A 20,489-nucleotide genomic window follows, 5' to 3' on the forward strand; every position below is an offset into this window, starting at 1 on the left:
TTATACATTAAGCTTTTAAAAAATAGTACTAGGGAAATTTGAGATTGTTCTAGGCCTTTGAGTTTGGAAATAGAGCTGACACATAAGGGACAAATTTAAAAATCCTCTGATTTCCCCAATATGTTGTTTCTAGCGGTAGTTTACCGTGATTTGTAGTATGTTAAGATGAATGTATATGCATAAGCCCCATGTTATTCTAAATCTGAATGGAGTGAATAACTATGGTGACAAGTTTAAAGATGTCTTGCTTTTCTTAGTTTATCTTCTAGAAATATTATTGCTATTATAGAATGGCTCTTTGTATGTAATAATACAATTTCAGTACTACTTAAATTTTTATTCACTAAATATTACCTTTTCTGTAATATGTATTGTAATTGCATACAAAGGAGGAATCTCATGGTGTTTCAATACAGTCTAAATGCCTTCCTTGCCTTTAAAAAGCTTCTCAGTTTATATGATGGTCCTCAAAAATTAACCCCCCATGTAATTCTCTATCAAATCACAAGAACAATATCAAGCTTCATGTAAAATATATTATAAAATCCATACTTTATTGCCAATTGTGCACGAAGAGACATAGCCCACTTTAACCTTCATTAACAGTCTATAGTTCTCTGTTCTATAGAAATCGTCCTTTAATGAAGGGAAAAAATAGCACAAAAGGTAACACAGTAAAACTATCCATGTAACTCCCCTTCTTGCTCAAGAAATTCAGTTTTAAAAGTTAATTATCTATTGGGCAAAAAGTAACATTGCCACCATGTGATTTTTGGCCCAGTTGGCCTGGTATTCATGACTCTGTCTAGACACCCAGACTCTTATGTTTAGGAATCATTGAGGGGGGCAGGGGACAGTTGGTGCTAAAACTGATCTATTCTGTTCATCTACACTGATATAGATGTACCATATACAGATTTTTAAATCAATCCAATGTAGGACATAAGAAGTTAATCTAGCAAAGGTTTTACTCAGTGGTTAGGGTAAATAGGAGGCTTCATTCATTAATTCATTCCTTCAACAAGTATTTATTGAACACCTGCTGTGGGCCAGGCCCCGAGCTGGCCGTGCAGATAGGACAGTGAGTAAGACAGAGAGCAGGTTTCAGTCTTCCAGGAGATGAGGCTGACTGTGGGTGCCCAAGCAGCCTTCCAGGGCTGTCCAGTGAATTCAAGAGGGCAGGGAACGTGAGGGAGTTACTCCTTCTTCAAGGAGAAGTAGCTGGTATATCTATAAGGATTTCCTGATATATCTACAAAACACCTCTCTCAAAAAGCATCTGTGAGAATGTGTGAGGGGATATATTTTTTAGGTACTTAGCAGAGCACCTGGCATGTGGTAAGTACCGGGCAGTCTCCTTTTACTTCTGTGTCGAGGTCAAACCACACCTTGGAACCAGAGAGAGGCTGAGCACAGGGGAGAAAACAGACATGTAAATGGGGGTCCTCCAACACCCCCTTCTGTGGAAATGAATTTCAGCCAGCAGGCCTGTACTGGAAAGAGGAAAGGTCTGATCTTCTGCCCTTTAGTTGCAGCTCGGTTTGTTGTCCCTGTATAAAATGTAGCAACGGTAAGAAATGTCGGATTTCAATACAGTATGGCAAACATTTATTTAACATCTGTCACATAAAAGACTGTTGCTTACTTGGGAATTTGTGGATGATGTTGCCAGGCCCCTCACTGGAATCTACATGAGAGAATGATCACTTACGTGGCATTGGTTTTTGATAGATTCACTTAGGACCTTTGTTAGATGTATTGCAACTCTAGCATGTATTTCTGCTTATTATAGAAAGAGCAAAGGAACAACAACAACAAAACAGGGCCTATCACAAAATATACTGCAGAAGAATGAGTTCCTTGTAGTGTTTTGAATATCTGAGGTAGATGGTGGCATGCAGTCAAGGTTCTGTGTATTTGTGAACAAAAATAGAAAAATATAACGCTTCATATCTTTCAGGCAACACTAAGTTATATATAGTAAGATCAGCCATGACTATTAAACAAGAATGCTTTAGAAAAGATAAAATGAAAATTTATATTCCTTTTAGAATAAAACATATCTTAAATTTCTATAAACTGTTGTGCCTCATACGTATTACAAAAATAAGCAGTAAAAAATAAATTGCACCTACCTGAAATCATCTTCCGAGATACCCTAAAACTACACATCGCTTTCATCTGACTGTGGCTGCACGTGGGCAAGGCTACATTGCACACCAGCCAGATCCACCTTGTGTAGCAAAGCATGCGCCAGGGGTGCATCGTTCAGGGCGTGGCAGCTGCACTGCATTAGATGTGCTGGATGTGTGCACAGAGCCACGCTCTGTCTGTACATTTACATCTACAGAAAGACACAGATCGTCACGATCTTCTGTAGATGTGCATGTCATTGTCCTGGTCTTGGTAGTTGCTAACAGTGATGCTGGCAATGGTATCAGGGAATAAAACTGGACTGAATGAGCCTGTGTATGGACCACAGGCTCAGCCAGCCTCAGTGCATATACTTCATTCTTTGGATTTTGCCTATTGGAAGTGTTTATAAACTTTAAACGACCTGGCAGTTTTGGCTGAGAGCCTTACTCCAGGGGCTGCCTGATGGTTGTCTTCAAAATGAGCAAACTTTCAATGATGACTGCTCCTTAATGAACCTGTTTTCCTTTGGGGCTGTAAATGAGGCCTAGCTTTCATGTCTAAGTCCTACATGCACCCACGCAAAAGGTAGATGTTTATTTTTTTAAAACTGTATTAATGTCCCCAATCCGGTGGGAAATTTAAATTAGAAGGGCAGAGAGATGAGTGTCAATGCTCCAGCAACTACATGTGAATAAGGTATTAAAGTGTGTTTCCAATCATCATGTTCAAGAGATTTGCAAAGAGGTGCACTTGTGGATGTTCACATGGCTGAAGAAACACAGGGAGCACTCTTCACCAAACTGGAGACCCGGGGGCACTCTCCACCAAGACCAGAGACCCAGGGGTGCTCTCCACCAAGACCAGAGACCTGGGGGAATTCTTCACCAAGACCAGAGACCCAGGGACACTCTCCAACAATACCAGAGACTGGGGGTGGGGGGGTGCACTCTCCACCAAGACCAGAGACAGTGGGGTGCTCTCCACAAAGAACAGAGATCCGGGAGGCTCTCCCCACCAAGGTTAGAGACCCTGGGGTGCTTTCCACCAAGACCAGAGACTGGGGCAGGGTGCGCTCTCCACCAAGACCAGAGACCAGGGGGCGCTCTCCACCAAGAACAGAGATCTGAGGCCTCTCTCCACCAAGATCGGAGACCACAGGGTCCTCTCCACCAAGACCAGAGATGGGTGGGGGGGGGCACTCTTCCACTAAGGACAGAGACCCTGGGGCACTCTCCACCAAGAACAGAGACCAAGGGGTGATCTCTACCAAGACCAGAGACCCGGGGGCGCTCTCCACCAAGACCAGAGACTCGGGGTGGGGGGGCGCACTCTCCACCAAGAACAGAGACCAAGGGGTGATCTCTACCAAGACCAGAGACCCGGGGGCGCTCTCCACCAAGACCAGAGACTGGGGGTGGGGGGGCGCACTCTCCACCAAGACCAGAGACAGTGGGGTGCTTTCCACCAAGAATACAGATCCAGGGGGCTCTCTCCACCAAGGTTGGAGACCCTGGGGTGCTCTCCACCAAGACCAGAGACCCGGGGGCCCTCTCCACCATGACCAGAGACCCGGAGGCACTGTCCACCAATACCAGAGACCTGGGGCACCGTCCACCAAGATCAGTGACCCAAGGGTGCTCTCCACCAAGAACAGAGACCCAGGGGCTCTCTCTACCAAGACTATAGATGGATGGAGTCAGTGGCAAGTCTGTGGTAAATTCTTGGATGTAAGAATTACAAAATGCCTTGGACATGTGGGAAAATTATAAGAGGAAGAGTGTGTAGACCTCAGGGGCTCTTTACATTTGTCACCTTGAGTGAACAAAGCTCACCTCCTGGGTATGGACCCTGAGGAGTAGGCAAGCTGGGTTCTGATGAGACTCGACTCTGAACATCACACCTGGAGAAAACCATTCTCTGCATCCAGGGCCTTGTCCAGGTCATTTCTATGCATCCCCCAACTCCATCCCACCAACATGTCTTTGGATTTCAAACTAACCCGACTGTCCAGGAAGCCTTTTCTGACCTTCGTGAATTATTTCCATTGTGCTCACTCGCGTCTTCCCCACTTTAGCAGGCTTACCCTGAAGTGTTATTTCCCAAACCTTCAGAAACCCTGACTAGATCATTTTGAAGATGGGGCATTAGCATTTGTGTGAATGCTTAGCAAACAATGGAAACCCTCAGCCAGGCTTGAGCTGTGCTCTCTGCGCTCTGACCCTCACTGGCAGGGGCACCTCGAGTTCCACTCCCTGTTGCATCATCAGCCTTGGAGCAGTGTCTGACAATATGTATTCAGTTATTATTTACTAAATGAAACTAATTTTTAAATGATTAAAAATCAGAATTAAAGTCTATGTTTCATTCTGTCACTACCAGGTTTTTTTTTTTAGCTGACTACCAATTTGTTAGATTTTTTTAAAAATGTGATTTCACATAATTATAAAGGCATATTTACTGATGTTACGTAAACTGTCTGGCACATGAAATATCCAGGAAAGAGTTTTCCTTTCAGCTCTCATGACACAGCTTGTTGGGGCCCGCTGCCTATTTAGCTGGCCTCTAATTAATTTATTAGATTTTTAAAGTGTGATTTCACATAATTACAAAGACATATTTGCTGATGACGTACCAAATATCTGGTACATTACAAATGTCCAATAAATGTAAGTTCCCCTTTCATTCCTCTCATGGCATGGATCATTCAGTCTGCTTATTTACATAGTGTTCACAATGTTAACAAGTTTAGACAGTGGTTTTATATTTATTACCCTCTTTTTAATCACATCTTTAATTTTATCGGTTTTTAAAATATTTTCCAGTCTCAGGGCAAGTCCAGTACATATGATTTATATTCAGCAGGAGCAAACATCAAGTGGTTCAGAAGGCATCAAACGATTTTTCAAAAACTGTGTGTGTGTGTGTGTGTGTGTGTGTGTGTATGTATGTATATATCTGCATACACACATACAGTTGACTCTTGAACAATGCAGGGGTTAGGGGCACACAGTCAGAAATCCACATTCCACATAGAACTTTTGAGTCCCCCAAAATTTAACTACTAATACCCTACTGTTGCCTGAAAGTTTCACCAATAACATAGGCAGGTGATTGACACATAGACTGCTCTCTACATATATGCATTCATAACATATTTAACTTTTGTTTTGTTTCGTTATTTTGAGACAGGGTCTCACTCTGTCACCCAAGCTGGAGTGTAATGTGCAATCGTAGCTTACCGAAGCCTTGACCTCCTGGGCTCAAGCGATCCTCCCACCTCAACCTCCCGCCTAAGTCCCCCAAGTAGCTGAGACTACGGGCCTGCCACCACACCTGGCTAATTTTTGTAGAGATGGTGTTTCACCACGTTGCCCAGACTGTCCTTGAAATCCTGGGCTCAAGTGATCTGCCTGCCTTGGCCTCCCAAAGTGCTGGGATGACAGGAGTGAGCCATTGCACCCTGCACTTTTTGTTATTTTTTTCCCCAATATTTCTAGGCTAGAAGGTTCATCTATAAGTTTTTTCAAACTGTAACAAATCACCAAGAAATTTTCCAGTATGTTTATTGAAAAAAATCCTTGTATAAGTGGACCAGGGCAGTTCAAATTTGTGTTGTTCAAGGGTCCACTGTCTGCATAAAAATACATATATACATGCACACAAGTGTAAATGATAGATATAGACAGTAAATTACAAAGCAAATTGGGTAAAATGTTAACAGTAGGTAAATCTGGGTAAAGGGTGAATGGGATATGGATATTATCTCAACTATTTTTGTAAATATGAAATTATTTCCTAACAAATTTTTTTAAAAAAATTAAGCAACTTATGACTACTTCATGAATTTTAGTTACAAGCAGTATGTGGAGTAAATGCTTTGTACTAAATTTGAACACAATGGTGTTTATGGTGAACCTGAAATATAAAATAACAGTGTTAACATGTCACCGTCTCTTCTGTGGAGTGATACATGTATGCCTGTGTATGGTGGTTGGCATTTATGTGTATTTTCCCAGCTCCCCAATGATAAACCTAAAAACCTCTAAACCTAAAAGTCTCAGCGCTAAAAATCCAGCAAGGTCAAACAAAGATTTCAGGGGCCCAAGCTCATCTATTAGCATAATATGAACCCAGCCCGTGTAACGTACTGAAATTGTGCCATGCCACTTACACTTAAACAGACAGAAGTTCTCTGCTCTGGGTCTCTCAATATACATTTTTTCAGCACCCTGCTTCACTTTAGAGGTGAAGTTGTGGGCTCAATGTTACCCACATCACTTGCCCATTAAAAAAGCCACCATCGTCATAATACCATAATTTTCTGCATGAAATTTTGGTCTCCTTACCCTTGTAGAGGTTCCTCTATGTACAAGTTTGCACAAAACACTGCAGGGATTATAAACCATGAAGAAAACATGGTTTCCTTTCAATGCTCTGCAGAGTTTGGCCTTTTGAGTAACCTTTTTTTTTTTTTCTGGGAGCTTTCTTTCTCTTTTTTTTTTAATTATTTTTTGAGATGGAGTCTTGCTCTGTTGCCCAGGCTGGAGTGCAGTGGCACGACCTTAGCTCACTGCAAACTCTGCCACCTGGGTTCAAGCGATTCTCCTGCCTCAGCCTCCCAAGTAGCTGGGATTATAGGAGCGTGCCACAACACCTGGATAGTTTTTGTATTTTTTGGTAGAGATAAGGTTTTACCATGTTGGCCATGTTGATCTCGAACTCCTGACCTCAAGCCATCTGCCTTCCTCGGCCTCCCAAAGTGCTGGGATTACAGGTGTGAGCCACCGTGCCTGGCCTAAATAAGGTGTCTTTGAACAGAAACATGTATAAAACTGAATTATGTATTGATCGTTGATGAAAATGTGATCAGAGGTTTTTGGGAACCAACCCTGTATTTCCTTGAGGAGCAGTATTGGCTAATTCAGTGTTCCTGGTGACTTTACCACAAATAATGAGAGTTGACTTGCATGTGTGTGTGTGTGCGTGCACACGTGCATGTGTGTGTGTGTGTGTGTATATATATAAAATAATTATTACTGTTTGCTGAATCATTTGAGAGCAACTTGCAGACATTATGATCCTTCATCCCTGTCTTAGAGTGCATTTCCTAAAACCAAGGACATTCTTTTACATAAAGTTACTTTATCAAATTCTGAAAATTTAATATTGTTACAATATTGTTATTTGGTGGTCATTCTAAATTCAAATTTTTCCAATTTTTCATTAGTTGTAAGTTCTTTCTGATGCAGAATCTAGTCCAGATCACACATTACATTTATTTGCCTCCTGAGTAGCTGGGATTATCATGCCCAACTAATTTTTGTATTTTTAGTAAAGATGGGGTTTCGCCATTTTGTGCAGGCTGATCTTGAACTCCTGACCTCATGATCTACCCGCCTTGGCCTCCCAAAATGCTGTGATTACAGGCATGAGCCATTGCCCCCGGGCTTGCAAGCTCTTTTTTAACTTCTCTTCCTGGACAAGTCTCTGTTGTGGCTCTCCTTCAGTGTCTCTGGCCAGTCATTCTCAGACTGGGAAAGCCAGGTCCTTCTCCTCCTTGGCCTTCTCATCATCCATCTCCTTCCTCCTGGGCCACTCTTCTGTCCTCATTTATTCCGGGTTTTTCCTTTTCAAAAACCTGTTTCATTCTTATGTATCCTGTGGACTTGATGAAATCTTACATGACTTCATACAATCACATGGCACGCGTCTCCTGGAAAGTTCAGAGATCTGTCTGTTCATTAACCCCCTCCAGTGGGACTCTCATTGATGTGGCAGCAGCAACATGAGGAATAGAATCAGAAAACATTTCCTGTAGCCATTTGGCTCATTGGAGTGAAGGAATTTTTTTTACAGTTTTCAAGTTATGCTGTTTTCTAAAGTTTTGACCATTTATTTTTATGTCACAGAGATGAAATTGATTTTGAGGTCTTATTTTTGTTACACAAATCTAGAGGAGAGTGTGTCAGTATCTCTTCTAAGTATTAGACACATTCATTTGCTTTTTCCTGGAGGAAAACATGCAGGAACAAGAACCCAAAATTCTAGATATCATTAATTTTTTAAATTTAAATAATTTCTAAGAGAAAAGAGACGTTATCCATACAATAATTATGCAACTCCAGTTATTATTATTATTAGTATTATTTTTGAGACAGAGTCTCACCCTGTTGCCCAGGCTGGAGTACAGTGGTGTGATCTCAGCTCACTGCAACCTCTGCCTCTCAGGTTCAAGCGATTCTCCTGCCTCAGCCTCCCGAGTAGCTGGGATTACAGGCACATGCTACCACACCTGGCTAATTTTTTGTATATTCAGTAGAGACGGGGTTTCACCATGTCTGTCTTGACCATGAGGCCTCACCACCATGTGCTCACCATCATAAGGCCAGGCTGGTCTTGAACTCCCTACCTCAGGTGATCTGTCCACCTTGGCCTCCCAAAGTGCTGCAATTATAGGTGTGAGCCACTGCGCATGGCCCCCAGTTATGTTTGAATGGTTGCTTTCCATCTTGTGGGTGTGTTCTTTAGCAATGACCAGGCTGAAGCAAGTTCCTCCCAGATAGTTCCATCTTTGCAAATTAAGAGAAAGACAGCTAGTGTGGATAATGGAAGGGTGACTTCCAATGTATTCTCTGGAATTTTAGTGAAAAAATTAATAGTGGGTACAGCTCTGCACAGATGGGCTCCCTTGGTTCATGTGACCACAGATGTTTTGGTATCGTATTGCATGTGATTTCTGTAGCTGTTAAGGTATTCCCATAGTAATACTTATGTGGACACGTTCTTGTAAAACTTCCCACCAAAATTCAGAGTGAAAAAACTAACATATCAGGGTGAAATTATCTCAGGATGCAATATGAAGTCTTAAGAAGTATAACTATTCATTTCTTGTCTAAATTGAACTTGAATCTTGAGATAATCCCAGAAAGTTTTGACCTCGCCCTGCCTCCGTCCTTAAATACATTCCCTTGAGTTAGGTTGAGCCATCAGACTGGTTTGCAGAGTGCCCAGTCCCAAAGGCTGGGCAAGAGACCGGTCTTTGGTCTTCATGACTCAGCATCCAGTCTCTGAGGGTGGGTGAGGCTCAGTCCTCAGTCTTGGTGACTGTCTTTGTCTGCTTGTGCTGCTATAACAAAATACTGGGTAATTTATAAACAATGAACATTTATTTCTCCCGGTTCTGGGGGTGGTAAGTCCAAGATCAAGTTCCCAGCAGGTTCAGTGTGTGGTGAGGGCTACTCTCCGCTTCCAAAGATGGTGCCTTGTTGCAGCAGCCTCAGGAGGAGATGAACGTCGTGTCCTCATATGCTGGTGAGCATGGGCTGCGGGGTCTCGTCCTCATCTGGGGTGTCCGTACTGGTGAGGGTGGGCTGGGGTGGTCTCATCCTCATCTAGGGGGTTTCTGTAGCAGTGAGGGTGGGCTGCGGGGTGTCATCCTCATCTGTGGGATGTCCGTGCTGGCCATCACCGAGTTGAGCACTTCCCATCCTGGAGTCTTGGCCACAACCCTCACATACAGACAAAAGTCGATTTGGGTCCAGCGGCTCTTTCAGCACGTGGTGCCAACCTAAGACATGAGGCCTCCTGCTGGAGCTCCAGGAAACTCTAGTCTCTGCCCTCCTCTTGCATCCGTAGGATCGCTGGGCTGCTGCTGGGGCTTGGCAATCCTCAGAGACCTTGGACTTGTCTGCTTGGAGATAAGGCACAGTCATTTCATCTCCAACTGCTGCCAAGCCCTGCTGGCTGGCAGGACATTTGGACTCTCTCTCCCTGGGTTTTCCCAGGACAGAGGTTACAGATCCTTCAGCTCTTAGGCTGATGTCACTTCCACTCCTTGATCTCAGCTTACAGGAAAGGTGGAGAGAAAAGGCGATCAGAGCAGAGTCCCTTTCTGAAGACACACTTGGTCCTCCCCTGCCTGGGTCTGCAGGGGTCAGAAGCATTTCCATAGCAGTCATTTTCATACAGGCCCTGGCTCCCATTAGGCAACCTTCCTCTTTGGAAAACCCAATAGCCAGGAATTTAAAAGGCAGGACTCTTTTCTCTTAATTTTCTCCTGAAAAACCCTTCCCTGAGGCAACCAGACCCAGCTGCTGCCCAAATAGGAAGGAAGGTCAGAATTGACAGGAATTCACAAGGAAAGAGAGCATAGGTTTATATTTCAGGGTATCAGTCATGCGGCCATGGGATCAGATTTGGAACTCTGTGATTAAGCTAATTTCTGGCATTAGGCTCAATCCCTCTGTGACAGAGAAGTGTAAAATTGTCAAAAAATGAGCATTATTTTAGCAACACAATCCTGACACTATGAGAGGGAGAAAACTGGGTTGGATCAAGTATTCATCTTACCCAGTAAGCCATTATAACTCAGGCTTTTGATGCATATTTTGGGCTGTTATTCATCAAGGTGGTCAAAGTCATGAAGAACTGTATGTTATTCTATAATATACTTTCTATATTAAGTCTGTTCAGATGATACCACATTTTCTACATCACTGATCCATTAAAAAAAAATCTTTCTTTGAATGCCTCTTGCCACTAATCAGGCTATGATATTCAGTTTTTGAGATAGGTTAACAAATTGAAAACCCAGCTTTAAATGTTATGGTAGTTTAAAAATAGAAGTGTTTTACTTCAAACTATTCTGAGTTGCTGCTTAGAGCAATAAAAATGTACTTTATAGCTTGTTAACCTAGATCTCAGGGATATCCGTTCTACAATAATGGAAGTAGATTTGTTTACTGTCTAAATCAGCCTTGTCAGAACAATGCTCTCCAGTGACTTTTTAAAGTCAGAGTAAACCAATACATTCTGTCTTCTGTGATTATACAGCATGGCATGGTGTTCTCTTGTATACTTGTGTTTTGAATATGAGTAACAGTCTTTAGCTGACTTTAGCATTTTGGAGAAATCTGTATATGTGGCTTCTACTTATATAAGCATCTACCAAATATATTAACTGAGTTTTATAGTCCGGTTATTTTCCATTTCAGTTACTTCCAAGACTCTTCGATATGCACTTACATACTTCATACTCATTAAATGAAGATATTGGAAGCTACCTTATTTTGAGGTACAGCATAAAGCACCAGCAGAGCTTAGTTACTACACATTTTAGCACAATCTCCTGTAAGTTACTGCATGCTGCAAAAGAGCTGAATGAGTCAACAGACATTGTAATGGTGATGTGTAACTCATAACCTGAAATAAACTATGTCAAATCGATTAGAAAGGTCTGAGCACATCTGGAAAATTGGCAGGTAATTTAGAAAGAAATGACTAGTTATTAAGAACTCAGGCCAGTTAAACTGGGAGATTAAAATGTATTACATTGAGAGACTATTGCCATCAATTGCCATTTGTTATTGAACATAAAATGCAGCCTAGTTTTGAGACTCAAGTGATGAACCCTTCCCATGGGTTCTTTCTACCTTTCTACTGGTCCTCAAAAACAAGTTAAAGCAAAAAAGATTTAAGTGATAAAATGTGTTTATGCCTCTTGGATGTATACTTTTTTTTAATCTAAGGAAGAAACCTTATGATATGATATGATGAAACCATCCTCTCTGGATTCTAATCCTAAGTAAATACTGACCAGCTGCATTAAGAAATTTTCTGTTTTTTTCTCCAGATCTTCAAATGCTCCATTAAAAAAAGAAAGTTTGTTCTAGTGTTTTCCCATCAGCATTTACCTACTCTTATGTACCTTCACCACAATCAAAACTGTTTTCCAGCCCAAACTTGGCCTCCAGGCCCTCACTGCTCTAGAGCCAGCCCCTCCTAATGGTTTCGCTCACACTCAGCGCCTTAGCTTCCCCTCCTCAGGGTCACTTAGAGAAGGAAATACTTCTGCCTCTTTGTACCACCTCCTGCCAGAAAGGAGACCCCGCACTGTACCTGATTCTTTGGGTCATAGGAACAGCATGTGCCCCACGTGGGCATTCTCCTCAGTCTTTATATCACATACCCTGTGAATCAGCATGCTGGGGTAGGACCCCAGGGTGGAAACTGTTGAAAGCCGTCCAGCAGGCAATGAGGTATGCTCTACCCTGGAGGCCTGGTAACCTTCACGACCCCCTTGAGCTTCAAGTCTCTGTGGCTGATGGTTTTAATGATAGGAGCCCAGAAAGGGAGGCAGCTTCCACCCAGCTGCACCCCTCGAGGTCTTGTGCTCCCTGACCGGGCCATCAGCTACATCCTTTTGCAAAGCAGCCATCAGCTTATGATGGGGTCTTGCTAAGCTGAGTGCCTGCTCCAGGAAAGCCTTGTGATGCTCATACGTGGTCCGATACTTGTATTTGGGGTGAGCCAGCTTAGGTTTAACGACTAAAGGACAGGAAGAGCCCGGCAAGCCTTGCTTGTGAAATGGACACGGTATATCCAGGAACACACCCAGTCTGACCCCAGCAGCACTGCACTTTACATGGAAAGTTAGCAGCTATCCATTATTCATTTCAACTGCAATGCTATTGCAGTCAGGCAGTGCAGAGAGACAGCAGTTTTCCCTTATCCAAGTGATCTTGAGAAGGGGAAGTTGAGGCACTAAGTAGAAGGAAAACCCTTAGGGAAGGTTGGCTCTAAAGAGCAGGAAATTTATCCCTCCCTCATGCACCTGAAGCAAGCTGGTGCTCAGTGGGACCCACAATTCATAGAAGTTCCCTAAATGCCTGGGCCTGGTTCAGTGATGATTTGGCTGAGCTGAGACCTGGGAGTGCTCTCTGGCTTGCTGCAGCCATTCCATCTCAGCTCCAATGAGACAGGGCCAAAGATGGACCTGATTCTCCACCCAGTGGGCAGAACTCAAGGCCATTCTCAGCTATAACTGCTACTTCCCTTGGTAATCCCTGTTACATTCTTCCCAACTCTTAGGCTGTTGCCAATGGCCTAGCTATTTGGTTTGCCACCTGAAAAAACCAGACAAGCAGATAAAAGGCACCTCTTTGGGGGGCTGTAGACCATGGAAACAAATCATGCATGGAACCATGTGGGTCACTCAGGTACAAGCCCACAGTGTGGACCTGTTTCGATGAGACCAACTGGAATGAGCTGCTGATCCAGATGGCACTGGCCACATAACCACCAGGCTGCCTGAGTTTACCTTCATACTGGGCATTGCAGCACATCCCCCATCACAACATGAGCACAAAGGAAACCCAGTTTCTGACACAGAGCTGCCACTCACTGCATGCAGGTGTTTTATAGTCCGGTTATCTTCTGTTTCAGTTGGTGTCTCAGGAGGCCACACTTCCCTGGGCAAGGCCCCCCCTGCTCCTGGAAGACTGACTACGTTGGACCCCTGACCTCCACTCAGGGCTGACACTGTTCCAGGCTATGTTGTTACTGTCCCAGTCTGGTCAGCCAACTTCAGCCACACCACCAGTCCGCTTGGTTCTTACTTTCTGTTTGCAGTCTGACAATGGAACACCTTTTGTCAAGGAAACCACTCAGGAGTGGACAGATGACCTTCCATGCCATTGCCATCCACAGGCACCAGGCATTGTTGAGCACTGGATCAGTCTCTTCAAAAACTGACTCAAAGACATCTGACTTTGGTCTCCTCCTGGTCACACGCTTGACTAAGACACGTTGTTCACTGAATGTAGCTGTTCCAGAAAGGGACCATCTTCTCTTGGCTGCTTCTTGAGTAATGACCAGAATGAAGGGGCAAGGAATCATCTAGATCTATTTTGAAAATTTGATAACCTTTCCTGATCATTCCTGGACATGAGGCTTCTCTCTTTACCCTAACAACTCCCCCAGGCCCACGTGGTTAGTGCACCCCCGTGAGCCCAGCGCGTTCTAGTCTAATTCTGATGCGACCACCTGGATGCTCATGCCGCATTGCCATGGACTGAGATAGGTGGGACAGGGACCACTGGCTGAGAGCTCCGCCCCCTGACCCCCCTACAGTGGTTCACACAGGCCAAAATGGTGGCCGTGACAGGCCTCTGTAGACTTTATTAAAATCCTCTGTGCCTCTTGCACCTGACTGTCCAGATGGAAAGTCGGGAGTGAGCAGGGGCATGGGGAGCAAAGTAAAGCTCCAGCCACTGACATAGGGCACACTAATTTTATTCCAGTGGAGGGAGAAGAACCACCTCAGCCTCAGGAGCCTCGGCCCACACCCCAGAGAACCACCTCAGCCTCAGGAGCCTCGGCCCACACCCCAGAGAAGAACCACCTCAGCCTCAAGAGCCTCGGCCCACACCCCGGAGAAGAACCACCTCAGCCTCAGGAGCCTCGGCCCACATCCCGGAGAACCACGTCAGCCTCAGGAGCCTCGGCCCACACCCCTCTACCTCCACTAAGAGGTAAGCGGGGTGAGGGCTATGAATGACCTTTTTCCTTTACTGTCATCCCTGGTGTCTGTCTTCCTTGTGAAGGAAAATAACTTGGTGCCGCTCACCCAAACTATTACAAGCACCTTAACTGACTGCTGGCTCTCACATCGTCACCAGGCAGCTCTGAACACAGCTGGACTGCCATTGCCCTTAACTTACCGAGAAATTTTTGGAAACAGCAGGGGAGGGCCTCGGCTCGACTGGCAGTGTGGACAGACAGGGCAGGGTAAATGGATGGCTCTCAAACAGTCTCTCCAAAGCCGAGAAGGACTTCACCCAGTTGCTCAAACTGAACTGGAAACGGTGCGTTTTACCAGCAGATCAGGAGGCTACATTGTAGTGATTGTCAAAGTGCACTTCTCAGTTCACACTGGTCCCAACAGTCAAGGAAGCCCAACTTGGGGGTGCCAGCAATTGTAACCCACACTCTGTTTTCAGAGGCACCACGCGTGCCCCAGATCTACACTCCTTGTATGGGAGGGAGTCAGGTACTAAGTTGCTTTTCTTCCCCAAAACGTGCTTTCCTTTCCCCTTACACCTTATGGATTCTCTTGAGAATGGAAGTCGACACCATCGATAGACCGTGCAGCACTCCGACGGCTATGCAGATCGAAAACAGAGCCGCCGTGCTTACCCTCACCCTGTGGGCAGTCAGATATGATGGGAATCACCCAGTTAGAAAGATGGCATGGAATCTGTCCCTGACTTCAAATGAAGTAATCAATGGTATTGCCCTGGAAGGCAAGCAAGTCAGCCTCCACTCACCAGCGAGAGTTGTCAGGGATGGTAGCATTGCCCCAGACTCACTCTTAGTGGCACAATCAATCACGAACTCAGTCATTCATACCTTGGGACGTAAAGAAATGACAGTGAATGGCAGTAACAAAGGCACACCACAGCAAGGGACCCAAGCTCGGCGCACCATTGTCCTTTTTCATTCTGGTTTTGCTGAGCTGCTGTTGCTTGGCCTTGCACAAATGCTGACTGGGAGTAGTCTGAGACCTGGAGTGGGACACACGTCCTTCCCATGACTAAAACTGCTGATGAATATGATAATATTTCTACACTAGCCTCCCTCAAGCCCAGAACCATGATCTGGAACAGCATTTGCATGGAGCACCAAATTACAGGCCTTAATCCAACAAGTATTTCTTGATTATACGACTTGATTCCAGGTTAGACAGATGGAAAAATGCTGATAAATATAAAACATGTCTTGCTCTCTAAAAAATTATAGTTTGGTTGCAAAAGTAAGACCAAGTTGACTAAGATATAATGGTCTTTTGTATCATTATGTGATCATTTGATCATTGTATCATTATTTGATCACCAAATTATATGGGGCCAAAAATAACACAAAATTGGGAAAGAGATTGTAATCACTGAGGGATGAAAAAAGGCAGTCAGGTTTTGAAAAAGAGCTCTATTTGGGTGCACGCCGAGCCTGCCTGACTGTCTACAAATGAAAATCAGGCCAATGCCTGTGGCCTGCAAGGCTTCTCGATATTCTAAGGTGACATGGATTGCATGTTATTATGCAATTTTTAAAAAAATGGTAGAGCCTCTGGATGAACGTGTTATAATTAGGTTTCCTTTTGTTGATTTGGAACTCTTTCTGTTCATTGCTGTGTGAAACACGCTTGTGGAAGGAATTATGCCAGCTTTGCATAGTGTGCATTTTTAGAGAGAACATTTTCATTGAAACAGAATCAGAAATGTAACAACGAGTTGGGTAGAAATTTGTCATGATTCTTGTTGGCATATATTATTGTTGCTAAAGGCATTTATTAAACTTAATGAAAGTGTTCATTAAGAACACTGAAGATTATAATGCTGACAAAAACACCAAAAAAAGTCATTCTACTACATTGAAGATTAAAAATAAATAAGCTACCCCATCAAACCAAATAAACTATAACTTTTAGGTAATTATAAAATACAACTTCACCTGCCTGGGCAACATGGTGAGATCCCCGTCTCTACCCCCCCGCCCCCAAAAAAAAATTTAGCCATGTGTGGTGGCATGCGACTGTGATCTCAGCTACTCTGGAGGCTGAGAAGGGAAGATGGCTTGAGCCCAGGAGGTCAGGGCTGCAGTGAGCAGTGTTCGTGCCACCGCACTCCAGTCTGGGTGACAGAGTGAGACCCTCTCTCTCAAAAAAAAAAAAAAAAAAAATACAACTTCAAATGAATGAATACTATATTTCAGGTGATAATTCCTAATAATAAAAGCAAAATATTACAACTACCCAGCATAACTGTCTATCTGTGATCTTTCACCCAAAGCTCATGGCCTTTGTACCATTCTGTGAATTTCAAGGTTATCAAAATATAGGGAATGTTAACTAATGGTCTAACATTTCTTAATCTTTACTTTGTATCAAATGGGGCTATTACTTAAATTCTTTGTATGTTTTAACGGTTTCTTATGAAAGCATACCTTCTTCACCCAGCCCGATCTTGACAGTAATGCCTAACACTAAACAAGTCAGTGTTGAGTTGTTTGTTTAATCTCTCCAAATATGTTGGTTTAAGACCTGTACAATTTGAAAATAAAACCTGCAATACTTTTTACATATGAATAGCAATTTACTTATGTCTGAAACCTTAGCAATAACTGCACAGAGAGCATCCAACAGTCTTAATTGGAGTTATCTGATTATTACTCACAGGATACCACAAGCTCTAAGAACATTTACTTTACACTGCTGGTGTTCTGGTCACCTCCTCGGTGAATTCACTGCTCCCTTTGCCCAAGTCGAACAGTTTCTATTATTTGTAACTTTTTCTTTGTAGTGTTTACTGTGAAGATAGCTGAATGTTTCAGCCAGGCTTTTTTCTTCTTTTACAGAATAATATTGTTCATGATCAACACAGATTCTACAGAGTGTATTAAAAAAATAGTCATCAAAAGCTTGATTGCTCCCAGCAGCCTTAGATCAGGCCTGTGTAGAGAAGGATTGACCATGAAGCCGAAAGGATCACTGATTGCCACCACACCTTCCTCAGCCCTGAGAGGGGCCTAGGCAGGGTGGTCACATGGCCATGTGTTCTTGTAAAATTCACAAACGTGAGATCGTTTGGCCACAGTCCTTTGTTACTGCTGCCTCTTTCTACCCTGACTTCACTCCAGCACATTCTCCTGCTGTTTAGAGGAATTGGAGTGGGGCTTGGCAGCTTCGGGATCTAGCTGGGGGAACATTGATTTGGAAAGACATTGAGTATGAGTTTAGAATGACACATTTTGTGGTTCACGCTTACTGCGGACTGTGCTGACTTACCAGGAGTTATTATGTGAAGGTCCAGGGATAATTTCTCCGTAAGAACGCATCCCACGGTGCTGGCAGCAGACCCACGAGGGTGGTAGAGGAGAAACAAGATTGGAAATGTCTGGAGTCACAGGCAAATCCGTGGTAAAATCTTGGATGTGTAAGAATTATAAAATGTATAGGCTACCTGGGAAAACTATGATAGGAAGGTTGTGTTCTCATCAATAATGCAGGGTATATTATAAACGTATCCATGTGTTCATTTATTTTTTCATGTGAATTATATGAAACATGTATCAGAATTTTTTCCTTTGTATGACACAATCTGTAGCAATTTAGTAAGCAAGCGGTCTGTGTGTGAAGGTGAATGTCTTATGCCTTTTAATATATTGGAACAGGTCTTAGTATATTTGATTATTTTGTTTCAAAGCCATCTGGCAGGTCCAAACAGCACATGTGTCATTCCAAAACCAATAATTTATTATGAGAAGGAAATACATTTTAAATAGAAGTAATGAATAGGCTCTCAGGTTATTAGACAACTTAATTAATGAAGAGAAGTGGTGCATACGAACCCATTGGGAAAATACTTGAATTTCTTGCTTCCTTGACAAAAGTTCTGACATCAATGAATATAATCTGATCTAATCTGCCAATGAGCCCCTACAACAAGGAACTAACGATAAACTTGTTAATGAGTGTCAGCAATTCAAAGAGAGTTTAAGATTAGTTCCTGGGCAACAAAACTTGAAAAACCTAGTATTCTTATTGCTTGCATGTGAGAGAAATTTGGAATTCCCCAAAAAATGTGCATGATATAACCAACAACAAGTCATGAAGCTGAAAGTAACTTTTTCAAACTTCAGTACTAAAAGAGAAATTTAGATCAACTATGCTGCTGGAAAGACTGGATTATCTTTCTGCTTTTTTCTTTATAAAATGATAGTCATAGTTTCGTATTCTTTTTTCAAAGAGCACCCCCAATTGTGCAAGCCTCAAGCCTGAGGAATTTGCACTCATCAAGTACCTGTGCCTGATGCGTTCTTTCCAGAACTGAAGTCTCATTGATAGGTGAGGTAATGCGATCCCAGCTGGTATAGAGATTTATTCCTCCAGGGAGTAGACAGTGAATTTATCCAGAAATGAATGTGTATACGTAAGAAAAGCTGTTCATACCAAGATTTACACACCTATGTTCCATTAAATGCAAAGGATGTGGTTTCATTTGATAATCGCTTCTGGTTGCCATCTTGGTAACGTTACACTGAGGTGCTGGAGAGGTCTGTAGCCATTTAGGGTCTTACCTTCAACTATTCTGTGTATCTGTTATCAGGGAATTTCTTCATTTCACGCTGAGCACCAGTGCTGTATTAGTGAGTGGGGTGTATAGTTTGTTGGCATGCACGGACTTCTGGTCCTATAAGCTTCAGGCTGCAGAAAGGGTTTAGCCCTGGACCATTCTGGGATGCGTCGTCAAGGCTGGTGCTTCTGCGGGAGGCAGGGCACTCAGGGCTTTCATGCTGCAATGGGGGAGTCCCATGGAAGCCAGAACGAGGTGGTCACCCTGATGTGAAGGAATCTGCAGAGGCAGGAAGAGCCCTGAAGCTAGCTCCACGTTCCCCTGTCCATGTCTACATTCACAGACACTTTCCCAACTCTCCAGGAGAAGCAGTGCAGAACGTTCTGGAAAGAGAGTGAAGTTTTGCCCTCCTAAGACTAGGTTTCTGATGAAAGTAGGACCACTGAACTGTAGGCAGCTACAGGATAGGGCCTGTCTGTTCTTCACCAGTGTAGCCTCAGCCGCGAGCACAGTGTGGAGCTGCTCACAGATAATGAAGACAGATGGTGCTAAGCGGAATCTCCTCTCTGCTGAGTGGGTTGCTGTAGTGGAAGAAGCACTGAAGAGTCCCAAGCGTAGGTTGAACTCCTTGAGTATGTCCTGAGAGACTGGGGCAGCCTGAGTCTCTGCGCGCACCAGCCTTTACACTGAAGTGAGATTCTATGTAAGAATATACCTTGTCTACCGGAATGCACCACAGGACTGGATATTGTTATGGTAAAATATTTTAGTAAAGGAAAAATAATGCCTAAATACATATAGCCTTTCAGAAATTTTCACACAATGGAAGTGCTGTGGTGATTATGAACACAGGCTCTGGAGCGATATTCCCTGAGTTCAATCCTGGATCTATCTGTTATCAGCTGTGTGACCTTGGGCAAGTTGCTTAATCTCTCTGTGTCTATTTTTTCATCTGCAAGTGAGGATAATCATAGAACCTACCTCACAGGGATATTGTAAGAATTAAATGAGTTCACACAAATACAGGACTTAAAGAGTGTCTGTCACTTAGGAAGCACACAATAAATATTAGCTATTATCGTTATGGTCTTCGTTTTACTTTATTGATGCCTAAAGTAATTTTGAACTAAAAATTGTGATTAAAATTTTGTTTTGTTTCAGAGATTTGGAATTACTGTCTAAATCCACCAAATCTTGATAAAATATTACAGGGAAAATAGAAGTTTGGGTAATGTCCCTATTTCATTATTTAGTATCTAGACACATTATTTAACTGATGTCTAATATGAACACTTATAAACCAAAGAAAGTGAGTTTAAATTTCACCAGGTGTTAAATATAAATACCTGTTTAATTCCGAGGGTGGTTATATCCTAGGACAAAGAGCTATCAAGGTTATATTGTAGTACACCAACTCTGGGAGATGAGGGCTTGAGTAAGTCT

The 20,489-nt window shown here is 43.2% G+C and overlaps 1 protein-coding gene across 20 annotated transcripts in view; it reads left to right on the top strand.

The window, feature by feature from the left end:
- The window catches only part of PACRG (parkin coregulated), a 588,369-nt gene that overhangs the window by 151,507 nt on the left and 416,373 nt on the right, over positions 1–20,489 (top strand). Inside the window, exon 3 of one of the 20 annotated variants that reach the window (XM_011535471.3) lies at positions 14,217–17,053. The exons of the other annotated variants lie outside the window; for them this stretch is intronic. Within the exon in view, the coding sequence (XP_011533773.1) occupies positions 14,217–14,444 (228 nt within the window). The 3' untranslated portion in view covers positions 14,445–17,053. Of the gene's footprint in view, positions 1–14,216; positions 17,054–20,489 lie in introns of those variants that run through there. 20 annotated transcript variants of the gene reach the window in all.

The sequence above is a fragment of the Homo sapiens genome, chromosome 6, assembly GCF_000001405.40.
Source record: "Homo sapiens chromosome 6, GRCh38.p14 Primary Assembly".
In the NCBI taxonomy this organism is placed as follows: Eukaryota; Metazoa; Chordata; class Mammalia; order Primates; family Hominidae; genus Homo; species Homo sapiens.